At 48.0% G+C, this 23,169-nt stretch overlaps 1 protein-coding gene across 4 annotated transcripts in view, besides 6 other annotated features; it reads right to left on the reverse strand.

Moving 5' to 3' along the window:
* Window positions 1-23,169, reverse strand: part of KLRG2 (killer cell lectin like receptor G2) — a 56,576-nt gene that overhangs the window by 26,877 nt on the left and 6,530 nt on the right. Inside the window, exon 4 of one of the 4 annotated variants that reach the window (NM_198508.4) lies at window positions 137-240. The exons of 2 other annotated variants lie outside the window; for them this stretch is intronic. In NM_198508.4, the coding sequence (NP_940910.1) occupies window positions 137-240 (104 nt within the window). Of the gene's footprint in view, window positions 1-136; window positions 241-19,529; window positions 19,838-23,169 lie in introns of those variants that run through there. One more of the 4 variants, XM_011516140.3, reaches the window with a different exon arrangement.
* Window positions 196-1,082: an enhancer, noted in NCBI's record as "H3K27ac-H3K4me1 hESC enhancer chr7:139138916-139139802 (GRCh37/hg19 assembly coordinates)". NCBI's record gives its function as "activates a minimal SCP1, AML or CMV promoter by ChIP-STARR-seq in primed H9 embryonic stem cells {active_cell/tissue: H9 hESC(primed)}" and the evidence as "EXISTENCE:reporter gene assay evidence [ECO:0000049][PMID:30033119]".
* Window positions 7,944-8,713: an enhancer, noted in NCBI's record as "H3K27ac hESC enhancer chr7:139146664-139147433 (GRCh37/hg19 assembly coordinates)". NCBI's record gives its function as "activates a minimal SCP1, AML or CMV promoter by ChIP-STARR-seq in naive H9 embryonic stem cells {active_cell/tissue: H9 hESC(naive)}" and the evidence as "EXISTENCE:reporter gene assay evidence [ECO:0000049][PMID:30033119]".
* Window positions 11,335-12,056: an enhancer, noted in NCBI's record as "NANOG-H3K27ac-H3K4me1 hESC enhancer chr7:139150055-139150776 (GRCh37/hg19 assembly coordinates)". NCBI's record gives its function as "activates a minimal SCP1, AML or CMV promoter by ChIP-STARR-seq in naive H9 embryonic stem cells {active_cell/tissue: H9 hESC(naive)}" and the evidence as "EXISTENCE:reporter gene assay evidence [ECO:0000049][PMID:30033119]".
* Window positions 13,501-14,222: an enhancer, noted in NCBI's record as "NANOG-H3K27ac hESC enhancer chr7:139152221-139152942 (GRCh37/hg19 assembly coordinates)". NCBI's record gives its function as "activates a minimal SCP1, AML or CMV promoter by ChIP-STARR-seq in naive H9 embryonic stem cells {active_cell/tissue: H9 hESC(naive)}" and the evidence as "EXISTENCE:reporter gene assay evidence [ECO:0000049][PMID:30033119]".
* Window positions 14,945-15,666: an enhancer, noted in NCBI's record as "H3K27ac-H3K4me1 hESC enhancer chr7:139153665-139154386 (GRCh37/hg19 assembly coordinates)". NCBI's record gives its function as "activates a minimal SCP1, AML or CMV promoter by ChIP-STARR-seq in naive H9 embryonic stem cells {active_cell/tissue: H9 hESC(naive)}" and the evidence as "EXISTENCE:reporter gene assay evidence [ECO:0000049][PMID:30033119]".
* Window positions 15,667-16,386: an enhancer, noted in NCBI's record as "H3K4me1 hESC enhancer chr7:139154387-139155106 (GRCh37/hg19 assembly coordinates)". NCBI's record gives its function as "activates a minimal SCP1, AML or CMV promoter by ChIP-STARR-seq in naive H9 embryonic stem cells {active_cell/tissue: H9 hESC(naive)}" and the evidence as "EXISTENCE:reporter gene assay evidence [ECO:0000049][PMID:30033119]".

The raw sequence follows: 23,169 nt of genomic DNA on the forward strand, positions 1-23,169 counted from the left end.
CACCAGGCCGCGAGCATGGGCGTGGGCTGCTTTCCAAGTGGCATTCCAGGCTAGGGGAGCAGCAAGGAGGTGGAGTCTGGGGAGAAATGGAGGATCCAGAACAGCAGAGGAGGGAGAAAAGCCCGTGGTCACTCACAGCTGGGGCGGGAGTGGGGCCTCGTCGATCCAGTGCCAGCCCTGGGGGCCTCGCCAGGCCCCCACCCAGGAGTGCCTGGAGACTGGGTATCTGCCCAGGAAGTCCTGAGGGAGAAAAGTAAGCTGGTCACTCCCCTGGACACTGGCGTGGCTTGCCTGGGGCGTACGGATTCCCTGGGGCTTCCACAGGATCCCAGCTGGCCAATCCAGAAGGATCTGCTCAAGCCAGCACTTGCAGAACAAAAAAACCTTGAAAGCTGGATTGGATGCCTGCTGGGTGCCAGGTTCTGTGCTCAGGGCTGGGGGCCAAAATGAGGGTGACCCCGTCTCAGCCAAAGGGATGTGAACGCCAAACACCACTAAGTGATGCTCAGTGGGCATTGAGTGGGCAAAGAAACAAGGAAGCTCAGAAAGCGAGGGAGGTGGTCAGGCACGGTGGCTCATGCCTGTAATCCCAGCACATTGGGAGGCCGAGGCTGGCAGATTACCTGAGGCCAGGAGTTCGAGACCGGCCTGTCCAACATAGTGAAACCCCGTTTCTATTAAAAAAAAAAAAATTAGCTGGGCATGGTGGCGGGCGCCTGTAATCCCAGCTACTTGGGAGGCTGAAACAGGAGAATCGCTTGAGCCCAGGAGACAGAGGTTGCAGTAAGCCGAGATTGCGCCACTGCATTCCAGCCTGGGCTGACAAGAGGGAAATTCTATCTCAAAATAATAATAATAATAATAATAATAATAATAATAATAATAATAATAACACACGCAGATGTGCAGGAACAACAAAAACCAAAGTAAGTGTGCTGGAGAGGTACTAGAGGAGACTTTTTTCTTTTAAATATTTGCCCTCAATGTCACACTATTTTTAACAATGAATTAAAGCAAAAAAGACAATGTTTTAAAGTATATATTTAAGATTTTTTTTTTTTTGAGATGGAGCCTTGCTCTGTCACCCAGGCTGGAGTGCAGTGGCACGATCCTGGCTCACTGCAGCCTCCGCCTCTCAGGTTCAACCGATTCTCCCGCCTCAGCCTCCTGAGAGGCTGGAACTACAGGCATGCACCACCACACCCAGGTAATTTTCGTATTTTTAGTAGGGAAGGGTTTTGCCGTGTTGGCCTAGGCTGGTCTTGAGCTCCTGGCCTCAAGTGATCTGTCCATTTTAGCCTCCCAAAGTGTAGAATTAGTGGTGTGAGCCACTGTACCCGGCCAAGATTTTTTTTTTTTTTTTTTGAGACAGAGTCTCGCTCTGTTGCCCAGGCTGGAGTGCAGTGGCGCGATCTCGGCTCACTGCAAGCTCTGTCTCCTGGGTTCACGCCATTCTCCTGCCTCAGCCTCCCGAGTAGCTGGGACTACAGGCACCCGCCACCATGCCTGGCTAATTTTTTGTATTTTTAGTAGAGATGGGGTTTCACCGTGTTAGCCAAGATGGTCTCGATCTCCTGACCTCGTGATCCGCCTGCCTCGGCCTCTCAAAGTGCTGGGATTACAGGCGTGAGCCACCGCGCCCGGCCAAGATTTTTTAACTTGGAAAAAAAAGTTTAAATCTTTTAAGTCCCAGGGTGGGGACGTGGTGGAGGGGGCAGTGATGCCGGCACGGCCCGCATCAGCTTGTTCTTTCTGAAATGTCGTTTGGTGCTATGTGACAAGAGCAGCACCACCACTCCTGCTCAAATGGGTGATTTCACTGAGAAATAAATCCAAGAATATAAAGGGAAAAAAATGAACTTATCTAAAGATAACACGGTGCTATTTGTGAAGAAAAACTGGAAACTCCCCAAACGCTCAGCAATCAAGAAATAACAAGGTAAATTATAGGATGTCAACATGATGGAAAATTATAGTGCTATTAAAAATGACAAGTGTATAGAAAATGTCATTATGCAGGAAAATGTAAATATGAAATCATGCCATGTAAAAAAAAAAAGACTACACTAGCAAGTACATATCACTCACAACAATGTCAAGAAGCACATATTCACACTGAGGCAGGTTAGGAGCAGAGCGGTATAAATGAATTTCGCATATGCTCAGTTCTTCTTCCCTAAGAAAATGGTTTAAGTCAACAAAGACAAGCCCTGGGAATTAGAGTGATGATTGTCCTGTTGCTGCCACCTCCTCCATCCTTCAGAACTGATTTAAAGGTGGCTTTTTTAACGGACACTGGGCTGACCCTCTCCAAGGTGAAATAGGTGCTCCTCCCTCCCCTTGGTTTCCACAACTTTCACAGAATAGAGCTGTCTCTTTTTTATTTTTATTTTTTTAATTTTTATTTTTGAGACGGAGTCTTGCTCAGCCACCTAGGCTGGAGTGCAGTGGCACAATCTCGGCTTACTGCAACCACCGTCTCCCGTGTTCAAGGAATTCTCCTGTCTCAGCCTCCCAAGTAGCTGGGATTACAGGCACCTGCCATGACGCCCAATTTAGTAGAGATGGGGTTTCACCATGTTGGCCAGGCTGGTCTTGAACTCCTGACCTCAGATGATTCACCCACCTCGGCCTCCCAAAGTGCTAGGATTACAGGTATAAGCCACTGCACCCAGCCTCTCTTTTTTATTTTTTAAGAGACAGGATCTCACTACGTTGTCCAGGCTGGCCTTGAACCTCTGGGCTCAAGCGATGCTCCCACCTCAGCCTCCGAAGTAGCTGGGACTGCTGGTGCGTGCCACCACTCATGTGCTGCCTTCTAATGGCTTGCCTCCTTGTCACTTTCCTGTATTAGTTGGTGAACCTGGTGCGGGCCAGGAGCTTGTCTTACTCAGCATCGCACTATGATAACCCAGTACACAGTAGGTCAACTCAGTGAAACTGCCTCCCCGCGCTCACTGCCAAAAATCAGCAGAGCCACAGTGAGACCAGGCCATCAGGCCACTGTGTATCCCAGAAGTGTCACGGAAAACCCATCTTCTGCCCCTCAAGGTTAGCACCAGTCAGTTAACAGCCCAGAGAGAAGTCAGGGGCAACTTCCCAGGCTGAAGGTTGCTAATCTTACCCTTCTTGAATCCTAAAGACCAGAGTGCATAGGAAAATGGAGAGTGGTGAGTGGACGGAACAGAGAATGTACACTGGGCAGCTGTTCCTTGGCTGGTGCTTCGGGGACACACTGGGGCCCAGGGTGGGGCTGGGCAGGGAAACTTGGAGAGGATGGGAGGGCCCCAGGCTGCTCTGAGGTGTGAGTCAGAGGGCTGAGCGGCCCAACACCGTCTTCCTGGGAGCACTCAGCTGCCTGTTTGGGAAGGCACACCAGGGCTCAGTGCCTCTTCCGGGGCTGAGATGGAGCCAGGCTACCCCATATGCAAATTCTGGCTCCATGACTTGTGAGCCACATGACCTTAGACAAGTTACCCAACCTTTCAGAGCCGCTGTGTGGTCGTCTGTAAAACGAAGATGCTTGTGATGAGGCTTGAGATACTAACATATAAAGCCACGGCCACCTAGTACACACTCATCCCATGTCCTCTCGCGTCTGACATGTGATGGGCAAAGCCTGTGACCTGCCTCCTACACACATGAGCCCCTTTGATGCTTACAGCAACCTCAAGAGGACCCTGTCCTTCTGTCAGAGCCCCAAGCTATCTGCCTCTCTCACCCTTCCCCTCTGGGCCTCCTGGTGACGGGAGCTGAAGGCCTCCCCCGAGCCCCAGCCCCGCCTAGACCCACCCACTCCATTCCATTCTTCTTTTCCTTGCGTTTGAGACTCCTGATCTCATTGTTAGCAAAAATGGTGGTGTAGGGAAGGCATTGTTCAGAGTTATAAATAAACTCTGGGAACTACTAAGTAATTTATGGCTAAAAGGACTGCTCTGTGCAAAAGATCCTGAGGCCTCCTTAACTGTGGATTCTCCAACTTTTCCACTAATATGGGGAGAGGGAATGTGATCCTGAGCAGAATGGACTGAAAATCTCATATTTTACGTCTTAAAATTATAGAAAATTGTTTCCTATGCCTTCATACATTTCTTTTTTAAAAATTGTGATAAAAGATTCACGGCCAGGCATGGCTGCTCACAGCTGTGGTCTTAGAACTGTGGGAGGCTGAGGAGGGCAGATCACTCAAGCTCAGGAGTTTGAGACCAGCCTGGGTAACATAGTGAGACCCTGTCTCTACAAAAAATACAAATATTAACCAGGTGTGGTGGCACGCTCCTGTACTCCCAGCTACTCAGGAGGCTGAGGCCGAAGGATGGCTTGACCCCGGGAGGTCGAGGCTGCACTGAGCCATGATTGCACCACTGCACTCCAGCCTGGGTGAGAGAGCAAGAGATCCTGTCTCAAAAAAAAAAAGAAAGAAAGAAAGAAAAAGTTTAATGACATAAAATTTACCATTTTAACCATGATAAGTGTACAGTTCAAGGGCATGAAGTATATCCACATTGTTGTAAAACCATCATCACCATCCATCTCCTGAACTTTTTCACCTCCCCAAACTGAAGCTGTCCTCATTAAACAACTCCCCATCCCCCGCTGCACTGGCAACAGCCATTCTACTCTCTATCTTCATCCATGTCTGTTTTAATATTAAAATGTTTCAAATTACTTTTCTTAATCCTAGGATGTAAATGTATTCAATGGTTTAATCTTTTTGAAATTAGCATCGGGCTCGAGTTCAGTGTGTGCTGTTAAGGTAGCTTCCTCCCTCCTCCACTCTGCAAAGCAAAGTTGTTATTAAACTAATGGTGAGCACTTACAACTTCCTACTTTTCACTAATCCTGAGCAAAACAGGCTTCTGGGAAGATGAGCCACGTCTATCCTGTACCTCTGGGCACCCTGGCCCTGGTGCGTTCCTGGGGTTTGTGCGCGCTGCTTCTGCGTGTGTGTCCTGTCCTCCCCACCCTGCCTCAGCACCTGCAGGAGCTTCCGGTCCTTGTCCAGAACTCAGGAAAATTCCAGAGTTCCACAATCATTATATTCCAGATTTTAACTGCCTAGATCTTGAATCTTAGCGTTGGTCTTTTTGCAGGGAAGGGGTTTACCCAGACTATGATATGTTTTCTGCAGATTTACTTATGTTTCAAATGATTGATGCTGTATGCATTTTTTTGTTAAATTCTTTATCTCAGGTTCTGTTTCCAATTTGGATAGTTAAACCCACCTCCCCCCATTGGCAACAAGGAGTTCTAAGCTCATCTGAGGTGAACCTGTCTGATGTGAGGCCCGTTTTACTGGCTTCCTGTTGGCATTTGCTGTGCTCAATCTGTCTGTCTCAGGACAAAATGCTATGTTCATCAGTCTTAAGCGATGGGATTCCATAAGTAAGTAATGGGATGAACTATGTCCCTGCAACAATATGATCCCCGCCCTGCTTGGCTCCTGGCCCTAACTCTAGGCACTCTAGAGACCACCTTTGGTCCCACCTACATTCCTACAGGCCTTCAATTTGCAGATACAACCAGTCTGAGTCGTTTGGTACAGGAGCCTGGGGTGCTTTCTTTGCACAGCCCATTCCCATCTCAACGCCAACACCTCAGGGCCCAGCCCAGGCGCTGAGCAGAAACTGATCCCTACTGAGCTCCTCTTGCCCTCACAGGCTACTGGTGCCCTGGCATATTCCCCCATTCACAGCATATATTATTTGTGGAACATTTAGAAAATAAATGTTATTCCTGGTTACACAGTAATCTGTGCTCACTGAAAAACATCACCTCCAGATTTTTTTTTTTTGAGACGGAGTTTTACTCTTCTTGCCCAGGCTGGAGTGCAGTGGTGCAATCTCAGCTCACTGCAACCTCCGCCTCCCAGGTTCAAGCGATTCTCCTGCCTCAGCCTCCCAAGTAGCTGGAACTACAGGCACCCGCCACCACACTGGCTAATTTTTTGTATTTTTAGTAGAGACAGGGTTTCACCATGTTGGCGAGGATGGTCTTGATCTCTTGACCTCATGATCCGCCCGCCTCGGCTTCCCAAAGTGCTGGGATTACAGGTGTGAGCCCCCGCGCCTGGCCATATTTGTATATTTTTAGTAGAGGGTGGGTTTCACCATGTTGGCCAGGCCGGTCTCAAACTCCTGACCTCAGATGATCTGCCCGCCTTGGCCCCCCAAAGTGTTGGGATTACAGGCATGAGCCACTGGGCCCTCCAGCAGATTTTTACATGGGAAAAATGGGAAGATACCAGGACTGTTTCCTGAGCCTGCCATGGGGGTTGCGAGGGGACCTGGCCCCGACGTTGTTGGTGGCTCCAATGTCATCGTCCTGGTCTGTTTAGTTTGTTTTCTGTTGCTGTCACAGATTACCACAGAAAGGGTAATTTATAAGGAAAATCAATTACTTCTTACAGTTTTGGAGGCTGGGTCAGGTGCAGCGGCTCATGCCTGTAATCCCAGCCCTTTGGGAGGCCAAGATGGGAAGGTTGCTTGAGGCTAGGAGTTTGAGACCAGCCTGGGCAACAGAGTGAGACCCTGTCTGTACTAAAAGTCAAAAAAATTAGCCAGGCGTGGTTCCAGCTACTCAGGAGGCTGAGATGGGAGGATTGCTTGAGCCTGGGAGGTGGAGGCTGCAGCAAGCCATGATCACAACACTGCACTCCAGCCTGGGGAACAGAGCAAGACCCTGTCTAAAAAAAAAAAAGACAGCTGGGCACAGTGGGTCACACCTGTAATCTCAGCACTTTGGGAGGCCAAGGCAGGCAGATCACTTGATGTCACGAGTTTGAGACCGGCCTGGCTAACATGGTGAAACTCCACCTCTACTAAAAATACAAAAATTAGCTGCATGTGGTGGCAGGAGCCTGTAATTCTAGCTACTTGGGAGGCTGAGGCACCAGAATCGCTTGAACCCGGGAGGCAGAGGTTGCAGTGAACTAAGTGGCGACCTGCCACTGCACTCGAGCCTGGGTGACAGAGCGAGACTCTGTGTCAATTGAAAAAAAGAGGAGGTTGGGCGAGGGGGCTCACGCCTTTAATCCCAGCACTTTGGGAGGCCAAGGAAGGTGGATCAACTGAGGTCAGGAGTTCAAGACCAGCCTGTATTTTGTCTCTACTAAAAAACACAAAAATTATCCAGGCATGGTGATGGGACCTGTAATCCCCGCTACTCAGGAGGTTAAGGCAGGAGAATTGCTTGAACTTGGGAGGTAGGCTGCAGTGAGCTGAGATCGCACCACTGCACTCCAGCCTGGGTGACAGAGCCAGACTCCATCTAAAAAAAAAAGAGAGAGAGAGAAATGTGGGGGACACACCTAAACCATAGCAGCAGTGTTGGGGTGGGGCTTCTGAGCCAGGCCTTTGGTGCAAATATCTTCTCTGACACTCTGATCAAGGGCAAGTTACTGAGCTTTTCTTTGCCACAAGATTCCTTATCGATGAAAGAGAAAAACGAATCGTTATCTTCACATCACAGGGCTGTTTGGACTTTAGGATTGCCAGGCCTCTGAGCCCAAGCTAAGCCATCATATCCCCTGTGACCTGCACGTATACATCCAGATGGCCTGAAGTAACTGAAGAATCACAAAAGAACTGAAAATGCCCTGTTCCTGCCTTAACTGATGACATTACCTTGTGAAATTCCTTCTCCTGGCTCATCCTGGCTCAAAAGCTCCCCCACTGAGCACCTTATGACCCCCGCCCCTGCCCGCCAGCGAACAACACCCTTTGACTGTAATTATCCACTACCCACCCAAATCTTATAAAGCTGCCCCACCCTTATCTCCCTTCGCTGACTCTTTTCGGACTCAGCCCGCCTGCACCCAGGTTAAATAAACAGCCTCATTGCTCACACAAAGCCTGTTTGGTGGTCTCTTCACACGGATGCGTGTGACATTTGGTGCCATGACTCGGATCAGGGATCCTTGGGAGATCAATCCCCTGTCCTCCTGCTCTTTGCACCTACGACCTCTGGTCCTCAGACCAACCAGCCCAAGGAACATCTCACCAATTTTAAATTGGATAAGCGGCCTCTTTTTACGCTTTTCTCCAACCTCTCTCACTATCCCTCAACCTCTTTCTCCTTTGAATCTTGGTGCCATCTTTCAGTCTCTCCCTTCTCTTAATTTCAGTGCCTTTCCTTTTCTGGTAGAGACAGGAGACGCGTTTTATCCGTGAACCCAAAACTCCATCGCTAGTTACGGACTCGGGAAAACAGTCTTCCCTTGGTGTTTAATCACGCAGGGATGCCTGCTTGATTACTCACCCACGTTTCAGAGGTGTCTGATCACACAGGGACGCCTGCCTTGGTCCTTCACCCTTAGCAGCAAGCACTGCTTTTCTTGGGGGCAAGCACCCCTCACCCCTTCTCTCCGTGTCTCTACCCCTTTTCCACTGTCCTGGGGGGCAAGCACCCCCCATCCCTTCTCTCTGTGTGTCTACCCCTTTTCCACTGTCCTGGGGGGCAAGCATCCCCCCACCTTCTCTCCGTGTCTCTACCCTCTCTTTTCTCTGGACTTGCCTCCTTCACTATAGGCAAACTTCCACCCTCCATTCCTCCTTCTTCTCCTTTAGCCTGTGTTCTCAAGAACTCAAAACCTCTTCAACTCACACCTGACCTAAAACCTAAATGCCTTATTTTCTTCTGCAATGCTGCTTGACCCCAATGCAAACTTGACAATGGTTCCAAATAGCCAGAAAACGGCACTTTCGATTTCTCCATCCTACAAGGTCTAGGTAATTCTTGTCATGAAATGGGCAAATGGTCTGAGGTGCCTGACGTCCAGGCATTCTTTTACACATCAGTCCCTCCCTAGTCTCTGTTCCCAATGCAATTAGTCCCAAATCTTGCTTCTTTCCCTCCCACCTGTCCCCTCAGTCCCAACCCCAAGCATTGCTGAGTCTTTCCAATCTTCCTTTTCTACAGACCCATCTGACCTCTCCTTTCCTCCCCAGGTTGCTCCTCACCAGGCCTAGCCAGGTCCCAATTCTTCCTCAGCCTCCGCTCCCCTACCCTATAATCCTTTTATCACCTCCTCTCCTCACACCCGACGCGGCTTACAGTTTCGTTCTGCGACTAGCCCTCCCCGACCTGCCCAGCAATTTCTTCTTAAAAGGTGGCTGGAGCCAAAGGCATGGTCAAGGTTTTTCTTTATCCGACCTCTCCCAAATCAGTTAGCGTTTAGGCTCTTTTTCATCAAATAGAAAAACCCAGCCCAGTTCTTGGCTCGTTTGGCAGCAACCTGAGACGCTTTACAGCCCTAGACCCTGAAAGGTCAGAAAGAAGGCCATCTTATTCTTAATACGCATTTTATTACCCAGTCCGCTCCTGACATTAAATAAAGCTCCAAAAATTAGATTCCAGCCCTCAAACCCCACAACAAGACTTAATTAACCTCGCCTTCAAGGTGTACAATAATAGAGCAGAGGCAGCCAGACAGCAACGCATTTCTGAGTTACAATTACTTGCCTCTGCCATGAGACAAAACCCAGCCGCACCTCCAGCATACAAGAACTTCAAAATGCCTAAGCCGCGCACACCTAAGCCACAGCGGCCAGGCGTTCCTACAGGACTTCCTCCACCAGGATCTTGCTTCAAGTGCCAGAAATCTGGCCACTGGGCCAAGGAATGCCCGCAGCCCAGGATTCCTCCTAAGCCGTGTCCCATGTGTATGGGACCCCACTGGAAATCAGACTGTCCAAGTCACCCAGCAGCCAACCCCAGAGTCCCTGGAACTCCGGCCCAAGGCTCTCTGACTGACTCCTTCCCAGATCTTCTTGACTTAGCGGCTGACGACCGACGCTGCCCAATTGCCTCAGAAGCTTCCTGGACCATCACAGATGCTTTGGGTAACTCTTATAGAGTGAAGGGTAAGTCCATCCCCTTCTTAATCAATACTGAGGCTACCCACTCCACATTACCTTCTTTTCAAGGGCCTGTTTGTTATGCCTCCATAACTGTTGTGGGTGTTGACGGCCAGGCTTCTAGACCTCTTAAAACTCCCCAACTCTGATGCTAGCTTGGACAATATTCTTTTATATACTCCTTCTAGTTATCCCCACCTGCCCAGCTCCCTTGTTAGGTCAAGACATTTTAACTAAATTATCTGCTTCCCTGACTGTTCCTGGGCTACAGCCACATCTCATTGCTGCCTTTTTCCCCAGTTCAAAGCCTCCTTTGCATTCTCCCCTTGTATCTCCCCACCTTAATCCACAAGGGTAGGACACCTCTACTCCCTCCTTGGCGATTGATCATGCACCCCTTACCATCCCATTAAAACCTAATCACCCATACCCCGCTAAACGCCAATATCCCATCACACAGCACGCTTTAGAAGCCTGTTATTACTCGCCTGTTACAGCATGGCCTTTTAAAACCTATAAACTCTCCTTACAATTCCCCCATTTTACCTGTCCTAAAACCAGACAAGTATTACAGGTTAGTTCAGGATCTGCGCCTTATCAACCAAATTGTTTTGCCTATCCACCCCGTGGTGCCAAACCCATATACTCTCCTATCCTCAATACCTCCCTCCACAACCCATTATTCTATTCTAGATAAACCTAGCTGACCCCATAAATCCTAAATCCTTTCCCCACTCCCCTTTCCATTCCTTAAAAAACAGCTCTAAAAGCTGCTCCCACACTAGCTCTCCCTAACTCATCCCAACCTTTTTCATTATACACAGCCAAAGTGCAGGACTCTGTGGTCGGAATTCTTACACAAGAGCCAGGACCGCGCCCTGTAGTCTTTCTGTCCAAACAATTTGACCTTACTCTTTTAGCCTAGCCTTCATGTCTGTGTGTGGCAGCTGCCGCTGCTTTAATATTTTCAGAGGCCCTCAAAATCACAAACTATGCTCAACTCACTCTCTACAGTTCTCATAACTTCCAAAATCTATTTTCTTCCTCACACCTGACACATATACTTTCTGCCCTCTGGCTCCTTCAGCTATACTCGCTCTTTGTTGAGTCTCCCACAATTACCATTGTTACTGGCCCGGACTTCAATCCGGCCTCCCACATTATTCCTGATACCACACCTGACATTCACTCCAATTCCCCATATTTCCTTCTTTCCTGTTCCTCACCCTGAACACACTTGGTTTATTGATAGCAGTTCCACCAGGCCTAACTGCCACTCACCAGCAAAGGCAGGCTATGCTATAGTATCTTCCACACCTATCAGTGAGGCTACCACTCTGCCCCCGTCCACTACCTCTCAACTAGCCAAACTCATTGCCTTCACTCGAGCCCTTGCTCTTGCAAAAGGACTACGCATCGATATTTATATTGACTTTAAATATGCCTTCCATATCCTGCACCACCATGCTGTTATATGGGCAGAAAGAAATTTCCTCACTATGCAAGGGTCCTCCATCATTAATGCCTCTTTAATAAAAACTCTTCTCAAAGCCGCTTTACTTCCAAAGGAGGCTAGAGTCACCGGGCGCGGTGGCTCACGCCTGTAATTCCAGCACTTTGGGAGGCCGAGGTGGGTGGATCACAAGGTCAGGAGATCGAGACCATCCTGGCTAACACGGTGAAACCCCGTCTCTACTAAAAATACAAAAAATTAGCCAGGCATGGTGGCGGGTGCCTGTAGTCCCAGCTACTCCAGAGGCTGAGGCAGGAGAATGGCGTGAACCTGGGAGGCGGAGCTTGCGGTGAGCCGAGATGGCACCACTGCACTCCAGCCTGGGCGAGAGTGTGAGACTCTGTCTCAAAAAAAAAAAAAAAGAAAGAAAGAAAGGAAGGAAGCTAGAGTCATTCACTGCAAGCAGCCATCAAAAGGCATCAGACCTCTCATTGCTCAGGGCAATGCATATGCTGATAAGGTAGCTAAAAAAGCACCTAGCATTCCAACTTCTATCCCTCATGGCAGTTTTTCTCCTTCTCATCTGGCCACTCCCACCTACTCCCCCACTCAAACTTGCACCTATCAATCTCTTCCCACACAAGGCAAATGGTTCTTGGACCAAGGAAAATATCTCCTTCCAGCCTCACAGGCCCATTCTATTCTGTCATCATTTCATAGCCTCTTCCATGTAGGTTACAAGCCGCTGGTCTGCCTCTTAGAACCTCTCATTTCCTTTCCATCGTAAAAATCTATCCTCAAAAAAATCTCAGTGTTCCATCTGCTATCTACTACTCCTCAGGGATTATTCAGGCCCCCTCCCTTCCCTACACATCAAGCTCGGGGATTTGCCCCCTGCCCAGGACTGGCAAATTGACTTTACTCACATGCCCCGGGTCAGAAAACTAAAATACCTCTTGGTCTGGGTAAACACTTTCACTGGGTGGGTAGAAGCCTTTCCCACAGGGTCTGAGAAGGCCACCGCGGTCATTTCTTCTCTTCTGTCAGACATAATTCCTCGGTTTGGCCTTCCCACCTCTATACAGTCTGATAATGGACCGGCCTTTATTAGTCAAATCACCCAAGCAGTTTCTCAGGCTCTTGTTATTTAGTGGCTCCTGGTTTTACCTCAAATCCCCACCCTTAAGTCTCTCTTTAAGTGGATAGAAGATCTTCAGTGACAAAGTACACTCCAATACTTTCACCCTGATGAAGTCCTATTCTTTACTTTTATACTCACTCTTACTCTTGTTCCCGTTCTTATGCCACGCTCTACCTCTCCCCAGCTATCTCCACCACACTATCAATCTCAGTCACTCTCTCCTAGCCGTTTCTAATCCTTCTTTAACAATTGCTAGCTTTGCATTTCTCTTTCCTCCAAAATCGCCGAGGCCTCGACTTACTCACTGCTAAAAATAAAATAAAAAAAATAAAAAAAGGGGGGGGTACTCTGTATATTTTTAAATGAACAGTGCTGTTTTTACCTAAATCAATCTGGCCTGGTATATGACAACATAAAAAAAAAAAAAAAGCTCAAAGATAGAGCCTAAAAACTTGCCAACCAAGCAAGTAATTAGGCTGAACCCCCTTAGGCACTCTCTAATTGGATGTCCTGGGCCCTCCCAATTCTTAGTCCTTTAATCTCTGTTTTTCTCCTTCTCTTATTTGGACCTTGTGTCTTCTGTTTAGTCTCTCAACTCATACAAAACTGCATCCAGGCCATCACCAAACATTCTATGGGACAAATACTCCTTTTAACAACCCCACAATATCGCCCCTTACCACAAAATCTTCCTTCAGCTTAATCTCTCCCACTCTAGGTTCCCATGTCGCCCCTAATCCCGCTCGAAGCAGCCCTGAGAAACATCGCCCATTATCTCTCCATATCACCCCCCAAAATTTTCGCCGCCCCAACACTTTACCACTATTTCATTTTATTTTTCTTACTAATATAAGAAGACAAGAATGTCAGGCCTCTGAGCCCAAGCTAAGCCATCATATCCCCTGTGACCTGCACATATATATACATCCAGGTGGCCTGAAGTGAAGAACCACAAAAGAAGTGAAAATGGCCTATTCCTTGTGGGGAAAAGAAAGACAGATCAGATTGTTACTGTGTCTGTGTAGAAAGAAGTAGACATAGGAGACTCCATTTTGTTCTGTACTAAAAAAAATTCTTCTGCCTTGGTATGCTGTTAATCTATGACCTTACCCCCAACGCCGTGCTCTCTGAAACATGTGCTGTGTCCACTCAGGGTTAAATGGATTAAGGGCGGTGCAAGATGTGCTTTGTTAAACAGATGCTTGAAGGCAGCATGCTCGTTAAGAGTCATCACCACTCCCTAATCTCAAGTACCCAGGGACACAAACACTGCGGAAGGCCGCAGGTTCCTCTGCCTAGGAAAGCCAGGTATTGTCCAAGGTTTCTCCCCATGGGATAGTCTGAAATATGGCCTCATGGGAAGGGAAAGACCTGACCGTCCCCCAGCCCGACACCCAGTAAAGGGTCTGTGCTGAGGAGCATTAGTATAAGAGGAAGGAATGCCTCTTTGCAGTTGAGACAAGAGGAAGGCATCTGTCTCCTGCTCGTCACTGGGCAATGGAATGTCTCGGTATAAAACCTGATTGTATGTTCCATCTACTGAGATAGGGGAAAACCGCCTTAGGGCTGGAGGTGGGACATGCGGGCAGCAACACTGCTCTTTAAGGTATTGAGATGTTTATGTGTGTGCATATCTAAAGCACAGCACTTAATCCTTTACCTTGTCTATGAGGTAGAGACCTTTGTTCACGTGTTTATCTGCTGACCTTCTCTCCACTATTATCCTATGACCCTGCCACATCCCCCTCTCCGAGAAACACCCAAGAATGATCAATAAATACTAAGGGAACTCAGAGGCTGGCGGGATCCTCTATATGCTGAACGCTGGTCCCCTGGGCCCCCTTATTTCTTTCTCTATACTTTGTCTCTGTGTCTTTTTCTTTTCCAAGTCTCTCGTTCCACCTAACAAGAAAGACCCACAGGTGTGGAGGGGCAACCCACCCCTTCAATTCCTGCCTTAACTGATGACATTACTTTGGGAAATTCCTTTTCCTGGCTCATAAGCTCCCCAACTGAGCACCTTGTGACCCTTGCCCCTGCCTGCCAGAGAACAACCCTCTTTGACTGTAATTTTCCACTACCCACCCAAATCCTATAAAATGGCCCCACCCTTATCTCCCTTCGCTGACTCTTTTTTCAGACTCAGCCCGCCTGCACCCAGGTGAAATAAACAGCCTTGTTGCTCACACAAAGCCTGTTTGGTGGTCTCTTCACACGGACGTGAGTGAAAAGGATAGTGTTCTCTTTTGAACTTATAAAACAATTTGACACAAATCAAAATGTCACATGTGTCAGTCTTTAAGTGTTGGGATTCCGTAAGTGTGACGGGATGAATTCTGTCACCCTAAAGTTCATATGTGGGTGCCCTAACCCCCAGTACCTCAAAATGTGACCGTACTTGGAGTCACGCTTTTAAAGAGTGATTAAACATTAAATGCACATAACGCTGTTCGGGTGGCCCCTAATCCAATGTGACTGGGGTTGTTACAAGAGGAGTAAATTTAGACATGCCGAGAGACACTAGAGATGGGAGGGCACAGGATTGCCATGTGAGGACACAGGGAGAAGGGCCACTACCTGAAAGCCAAGGAGAGGCCTCTGGAAACCCAGAACCTGCTGACATCTTGATCTCAGACTTCCAGCCTTCAGGACTGTGAGAAAGTCAGCTTGTTGAAGCTAACCAGTCTGCAGTATTTTGCTATAGCAGCCCCAGTAAACTAATACCATAAGATTTGTTTATTTACTTATTTTTTTGAGATAGGGTCTCGCTGTCACCCAGGCTGGAGTGCGGTGGTGCGATCTTTGCTCACTGCAGCCTCTGCCTCCCAGGTTCAAGCGAGTCTCCTGCCTCAGCCTCCCGAATAGCTGGGACTACAGGCGTGTGCCACCACGCTCAACTAAGTTTTGTATTTTTAGTAGAGACGGGGTTTCACCATGTTGCCCAGGCTGGTCTTGAACTCCTGACCTCAAGTGATCTGCCTGCCTCGGCCTCCCAAAGTGCTGTGATTATAGGTGTGAGCCACCACGCCCAGCCTACTTATTTATTTTTTGAGACAGAGTTTCGCTCCGTCACCCAGTAGCGCGATCTCGGCTCACTGCAACCTCCGCCTCCTGGGTTCAAGTGTTCTTCTGCCTCAGACTCTTAAGTAGCTGGGATCACAGGCATGCGTCACCATGTCCCGCTAATTTTGTATTTTTGGTAGAGATGGGGTTTCACCATGTTGCCCAGAATGGTTTCAAACTCCTGACTTCAGATGATCCACCCACCTCGGCCTCCCAAAGTGCTGGGATTACAGGCGTGAGCCACTACGCCCGGCTAATACAGTAAGATTTGAAAACAGGTTTCACTTCTTTAATAAATGGAAGACTACAGGACTAGGAGGAAGATCTGAGGGCTCCTGCTGGACCCTGAGGCCCGGCCATGCGTTCCGCACCCCTGCATGCCCAGTCTCCAGCACACGGTCAGGACACTGTGGGGCGTAAGGAGTAGAGATTCCTTATAGCACAAGTGTGCCTAAGAGCATAAGGATATTCCCTACATAAGAGGTGGACAACCAAAGGAAAGAGCTCCTACATATCAACAAGAAAAAGACCGAGTAATGCTAAGAGAAAAGAAACAGGGCATGGGTAAGCAATTCTTTTTTTTTTTTTTGGACGGAGTCTCGCTCTGTTGCCAGGCTTGAATGCAGTGGTGTGATCTTGGCTCACTGCAACCTCCACCTCCCAGATTTAAGCGATTCTCCTGCCCCAGCCTCCCAAGTAGCCGGGACTACATGTGTGTGCCACCATGCCCAGCTAATTTTTTTGTATTTTTAATAAAGACGGGATTTCACCATGTTGGCCAGGATGGTCTCGATCTCCTGACCTCGTGATCTGCCCGCCTCAGCCTCCCGAATTGCTGGGATTACAGGCATGAGCCACTGCGCCCGGCTATGGATAAGCAATTCTAAGACTATTTCCAGACAGCCAAACCAGTATGAGCCATGGTCTGGCCTTATGTGGAAATACAACAAATGCAAAGCCAGTCTTCTTTTTCCTCTGTCAAACTGACAAAGATTTAAACAAAAGTTAGAAAAACAGAAAAAGCCAGGTGCAGTGGCTCATGCCTACAATCCCAGGACTTTGGGAGCCTGAGGTGGGAGGATCGCTTGAGGCCAGGATTTTGAGATCAGCCTGGGCAACATAGTAAGATTTCATCTCTACAAAAAATAAAAAATTAGCTGGGTGTGGTGGCACATGCCTGTGGTCCCAGCTACTTGGGAGGTTGAGGCAAGAGGATTGCTTGAGTCAGGAGAGTTCGAGGCTGCAGCGAGCTATGATGGCACCACTGCACTCCAGCCTGGGCAACAGAGACCTGTCTCTAAAAAAAACAAAAACAAAAATAAAATAAAACCAGATTAGGAAACAGCACATTCCTTTTTTTTTTTTTTAATTTGAGACAGAGTCTCACTCTATCGCCCAGGCTGGAGTGCAATGGCACGATCTTGGCTCACTGGAACCCCTGTCTCCCAGGTTAAAGCGATTCTCCTGCCTCAGTCTCCTGAGTAGCTGGGATTACAGGTCCCCGTCACCACACCTGGATAATTTTTGTTTTTTTTTTTTAGTAGAGATAGGGTTTCACCATATTGGCCATGATGGTCCTGAGCTCCTGACCTCAGGTGATCCACCTGCTTCAGCCTCCCAAAGTGCTGGGATTACAGGTGTGAGCCACCGGGCCCGGACTTCCATTTTTGTTTTAAAGACAAAGTTACATATCATAGAAAAAAGCCTGGAAGTAGGTATTCCAAAATATTTTGTTAGTGCTTATCTTTAGGTACGAGATAATGAGTAAAATTTATTTTCTTTCTAAATGTTTATGTTTTCCAAACTTTTTGCAGTGAATGTATTACTTAATAATGAGAAAAATATACAGCAATAAGAGATACTGACATGTGTGTTCAAGAATTCACTTCTCGGCTGGGAGTGGTGGTTCACGCCTGTAATCCTAGCACTTTGGGAGCCCAAGGTGGGCAGATCACCTGAGGTCAAGAGTTTAAGACCAGCCTGGCCAACATGGTGAAACTCTGTCTCTACTAAAATACAAAAATTAGCCAGGCATGATGGCAGGTGCCTGTAACCCCAGCTACTCGGAAGGCTGAGATGGGAGGATCACTTGAACCTGGGAGATGGTGGTTGCAGTGAGCCGAGATCGTGCCACCGCACTCCAGCCTGGACAGCTGAGCGAGACTCGGTCTCAAAAAAAAAAAAGAATTCACTTCCTGTCCTGCTCTCGCAAGGGTCCCTAGGGGTTCTCAGGAGGGCTCCTCTTGGCTCCTCCAGGGCAAGAGACGTCAGGCACTGCAGGCAGCTGGCAGGACAGGCCCAGTGGCCAGTTCTTCAGGGCTCTGTCCCTCCACTGTCACTCATTGTCTGTCCCCAGGCGAGGTGGCACGAACAGAGGTGAGTCTCAGAGGAGGTGTGTGTCTCAGAGAGGTGTGGATATGACAGCCAAAGTGGGTGGGATAAAGGGCTGGGAAGCACAATACAGAAGGTGGGGATACCAGGCCACAGACTGTTTCGGAGCTGTCACCTGACGTGTGGCAGTTCCTGACCCCTAATCCCAGGACAGAGCCTGGACACCTAATCCTTCTGCAATGCATGGCAGGCACTTCCAGGAACAATCCCAGAAGAAACAAAAGCTAGAAACTCCCTCCCCTCCCTATTGTGTGGGGCAGAATAACTTTGATTCCAGGTAGGGACAGTCCAACAAAACGTCATGCATGCAAAAATCTTCAGTGAAATATTAACAAGTCAAGTCCAGAAATATTTGGGGAAAAAAATCATGACTAAGCAGACTTGACCACATGAAGCCAGGAATAAAACAAACAAACAAACCGCCACAAGAGATTAAAAGGAGAAACAAAAAAGATACTATCATCCCACTGGATGCATAGAAAGCCTTCAATGATTTAAACTCATTCATATTTAAAACTCTTAAATAAAAATAGAATTTTTTAAAAAATAGAAAGAAAAAAGGACAAAAAAAAATGGGAAGAGAAGCTGAGTGCGGTGGCTCATGTCTGTAATCCCAGCACTTTGGGAGGTCAGGGCAGGAAGATCACTTGAGCCCAGGAGTTTAAGACCAGCCTGGGAAACATAGTAAGACCCCGTGTCCATTAAAAAAAAAAAAAGAATGGGAAGAGACAACATCAGATGAGAAACATCAACATTTTGGAAGCTGGACAACTGTAACAGCCTCATAGAGCTGAGAAAGCTCAGTGGTTTTCAAGGAAAGGACAGATAGACAGCTGGGAGAAAGCCAAGAAATACCCCAATTTGAATTGAGAAGCCCCCAAAGCTTAAGTATTAGAGACAACAGGTCCTTCTGAAGGCCAATGTACGGGAAAAAGGACCGGTTGAAAGTCTGTAAAAGAAACAGTTAGGACCCTCCACCCCCAGCCCAAAGATCCACTCATCTTCCCCATGCAGCGAGGTAACTAACTGGCAGAGCTATTCGGAAAGACGAACCACAGAGGCTTTTAGAATCCAGGATACAGGGTTCAGTTAAGGGTGAAGGTGTTTATACTAAAAAGGGAAGGGGATGCGGTGGCTCGCGCCTGTAATCCCAGTACTTTGGGAGGCCGAGGTGGGTGGGTCGCTTGAGGCCAGGAGTTTGAGACCAGCCTGGCCAACATGGCAAAACACCGTCTCTACAAACATACAAAAATTAGCTGTGTGTGGTGGTTCGACCCTATAATCCCAGCTACTCAGGAGGCCGAGGCAGGAGAATCACTTGAACCTGTGAGGCAGAGGTTGCAGTGAGCTGAGATTGCTCCAGTGCATTCCAGCCTGGGTGACAGACCAAGACTCTGTCTAAAATAAAATAAAATAAAGATAAAAATAAATAAATAAAAAGGGAAGGATATTTAAGTGCTACACACTTAGAGGTGAAACCACCCCCTCCTATCCGCGCAATGATGACAGCTCAGCATCACTAAGAAAATGACTGAGTCCCTGCCTGATTCCCATATGGTAAAGCCTGCCTCTAAAAAAGCTCAGCCTCACCCTCACCCTCCCACCCGACATAGAACACTTAATCTGTAATTTAGTACTTTACTCTCAATGACAGCAGCTGAGGATCACAACATTTGAGGAAATTTTCTAACATGCAAAAGACAAACAATAAACAGAATAAAAAGTACACACAAAAAATCAGAGCTAATGCAGGGAGCAGAGGAAAATTTCAAAAACACCAGCATCCACAATGAGATAAGAAAAGATGGCATCAGCCAGGTACAGTGGCTCACACCTGTAATCCTAGCACTTTGGGAGGCAGAGGTGGGCAGATCACCCGAGGTCAGGAGTTCAAGACCGAAAAGATGGCATCCATGAAACAAGAACAGGACACTGTAAAAAAGGAACATTTGAAAGGTCAAAACAGTTCTAAAAATTAGAAACAAGGCAGCAAAAATGTAAATGAAGAAGAAAAAGGCCCACAGGGCATATTATTAAATTTCGGAACACTGAGAACAAAGAAGACACTGAAATTTTCCAGAGAAGAAATAAAAATGAATGACATACAAAGAACTGGGAATCAGAGTGGCTCAGACTTTTTTTTTTTTTTTTTTTTGGAGACCTAGTCTCACTCTGTCACCCAGGCTGGAGTGCAAGTGGCACAATCTTGGCTCTGCCACCTCCACCTCCTGGGTTCAAGCAATTCTAGTACCTCAGCCTCCCGAGTAGCTGGGACTACAGTTGTGTGCCACCATGCCTAGCTAAATTTTTGTGTGTGTGTATTTTTAGTAGAGATAGGGTATCACCATGTTGCGTAGGCTGATCTCGAACTCCTGACCTCAAGTGATCCATCTGCCTTGGCCTCCCAATGTGCTGGGATTACAGGCATGAGCCACTGTGCCCCACCTTGGCTCAGACTTCTTAATGGCAAGACTAAGAGCTGACAGTCACGGAGAATTCTGGGGAAAAGCGATTTTCTACCTAGAATTCTATACCCAGATGTGATATTATGATATCTATGTCTCTATCTCCATATCTCTATCTAAAATAATGTTTTTGGCTGGGCATGGTGGCTAACACTTGTAATCCCAGAACTTTGGGAGGCTGAGGCAGGTGGATCATTTGAGGTCAGGAGTTTGAGACCAGCCTGGCCAACATGGTGAAACCCCATCTTTACTAAAAATACAAAAAAATTAGCTGGGCATGTTGGCACACGCCTGTAATTCCAACTACTTGGGAGGCTGAGGCAGGAGAATTGCTTGAATCCAGGAGGTGGAGGTTGCAGTGAGCTGAGATCGCCCCACTGCACTCCAGCCTGGGCGACAGAGTGAAACTTTGTCTCAAAAAAATAAATAAATAAAACAAAATAAAATAAAATAAATGTCTTGTCCACAGTTCCTGGCTTATAACTCCCATAGCCCTTGACACAGGATTTGTTATAATGCTGTGGTGCTCCAGGCCTCAGATGCAGGCCCAGACCTAGGAAATAGAATCTCTCTCTCTGACCTTCTGCCCAAGGCAGGACTCTAATCTGCTGTGGGTCATAAGACCCTATTCTAGGGAGGGTCCTGGCCCATCTCTGAAGGAAGGAATGCTGCAGAGACAGGCCAAGAAGAATTGGAGCAGACAGGCCTCGCTGGGTTTCCTGCCTAGTCTATTAGTATGAGATCAAATCCTTTCTGCCCAATCAAATCTTGACACAGTTGTCCCTGCTTTAGTCATGCCTGTCCAACGAAGTCTCCACAAAAGGCCCAACAGGACAGGGTTTGGGGGCTTCCGGATAGGCTGAACACATAGAGGCTAACAGGAAGGTGAGTGAGAACTTGTCCCAGGCTGGGCGCGGTGGCTCACGCCTGTAATCTCAGCACTTTAGGAGGCCGAGGCAGGCGGATCACGAGGTCAGGAGATCGAGACCATCCTGGCTAACATGGTGAAACCCCGTCTCTACTAAAAATACAAAAAATTAGCCAGGCGTGGTGGCGGGCGCCTGTAGTCCCAGCTACTTGGGAGGCTGAGGCAGGAGAATGGCGTGAAACTGGGAGGTGGAGGTTGCAGTGAGACGAGATTGCACCTCTGCACTCCAGCCTGGGTGACAGCGCAAGACTCTATCTCAAAAAAAAAAAAAAGAACTCGTCCCCGTGCTGGGGGGGTGGCGGCACACCCCACCCAGCTCTATAAGGACAGAATCTCCTGTGCTTGGGACTCTTCCAGATCTCACCCTGTGCATCTCCTTTGGCTGTGTGTTTGTATCATTTAAAATACCCTTTGTAACAAACCAGTAAATGTGTTTCCCTAAGTTTTGTGAGCTGCTCTAGCAAATTAATCAAACCCAAAGAGGGAACGTGGGAGTCCAAACTTGAAGCCAGCCACTCAGAAGTTCCAGAGGCCTGGACTTGCGACGGGCGTCTGAAGCTGGGCAGCCTTAGGGACTGAACCCTCAAACTGTGGGATCTGAAGCTATCTCCGGGAAAACAGCATCAGAATTGAATTAAATTACAGGACACCCAGCTGGTGCCCACTGCTTCGTGGGTAAGAGAAAAAAAAAAAACACATTTGGTCACAGACGCTTTCTGGGTTGATTGTTGTTGTGTAAGAGCAGAGGAAAGACAGTTTGAGTGTTTTTCCTACACACCAGCCAAGTGATTGTTAGCTTGGAGGTTAGAATAAAAGTTCTTTAAGCACGAAAGGTCTCAAGAAATTGAGGCCAGGCACGGTGGCTCATGTCTGTAATCCCAGCACTTAGGGAGGCTGAGGCAGGCGGATCGCCTGAGTCCAGGAGTTTGAGACAAGCCTGGGCAAGGTGGCAAAACTCTGACTCCACTGAGGAGACTGAGGTGAAACCAACGAAAAGACATGCGACCTAGGAAACAGGGAATCCCACGGAGGAGGGAGGCAAAAGGCATACTGAGGATGCAGGTAAATAGAAATTCCAGAACAGCTGTGCAGCAGGCCTGGTGAGCAACAGGTCCAGACTGGAACAGAGAAGAGAGGATTCCAGAAGGCTCTCTGGCCCGGTGTCACTATCTTTTTTTTTTTTCCTTGAGACAGAGTCTCACTCTGTTACCCAGGCTGGAGAGCAGTGGCGCGATCTTGGCTCACTGCATCCTGTCTTCTGGGTTCAAGCGATTCCCATGCCTCAGCCTCCCAAGTAGTGGGGACTACAGGTGCATGCCACCATGCCTGGCTAATTTTTGTATTTTTAGTAGAGACGGGGTTTCACCAGGTTGGCCAGGCTGGTCTTGAACTCCCGACTGCAGGTGATCCTCCTGCCTCCTCAGGCTCCCAAAGTGCTGGGATTACAGGTGTGATCCACTGCACCCGGCCTCACTATCTTTTCTTGAATGTTTTTGGAAAGGCACATGCTGCCTTGCTCACCTTGACCTTCAGGTCACACCCTCCTGTCATTTACTCTCGTAGCACTGTGCACCGTCCCTTCACAGCACAGATCAGTGTGGTCATTAAACATCTATTTCTGTGATTTCCTGATTGACGTCTGCCTCACTCACTGCTGTCTTAGCTTTGTCAAGGTGGGGGCTGTGCTATTCTGGCTCATTATTGAATCCCCCTTGCCAAACACGGAGTAAGTGCTTAATACACACTCATTAAAGCACTGACGGAAGGAGTGCTGCGTTTTCATACATACCAGAACAGCGAATATAAATTCCTGGCACCTGCCCCCAGGTAAAATTAAGCCAAGGATTGCTGGGAATGTAAAATTGCACAGC

The sequence above is a fragment of the Homo sapiens genome, chromosome 7, assembly GCF_000001405.40.
Source record: "Homo sapiens chromosome 7, GRCh38.p14 Primary Assembly".
Classification (NCBI taxonomy): Eukaryota; Metazoa; Chordata; class Mammalia; order Primates; family Hominidae; genus Homo; species Homo sapiens.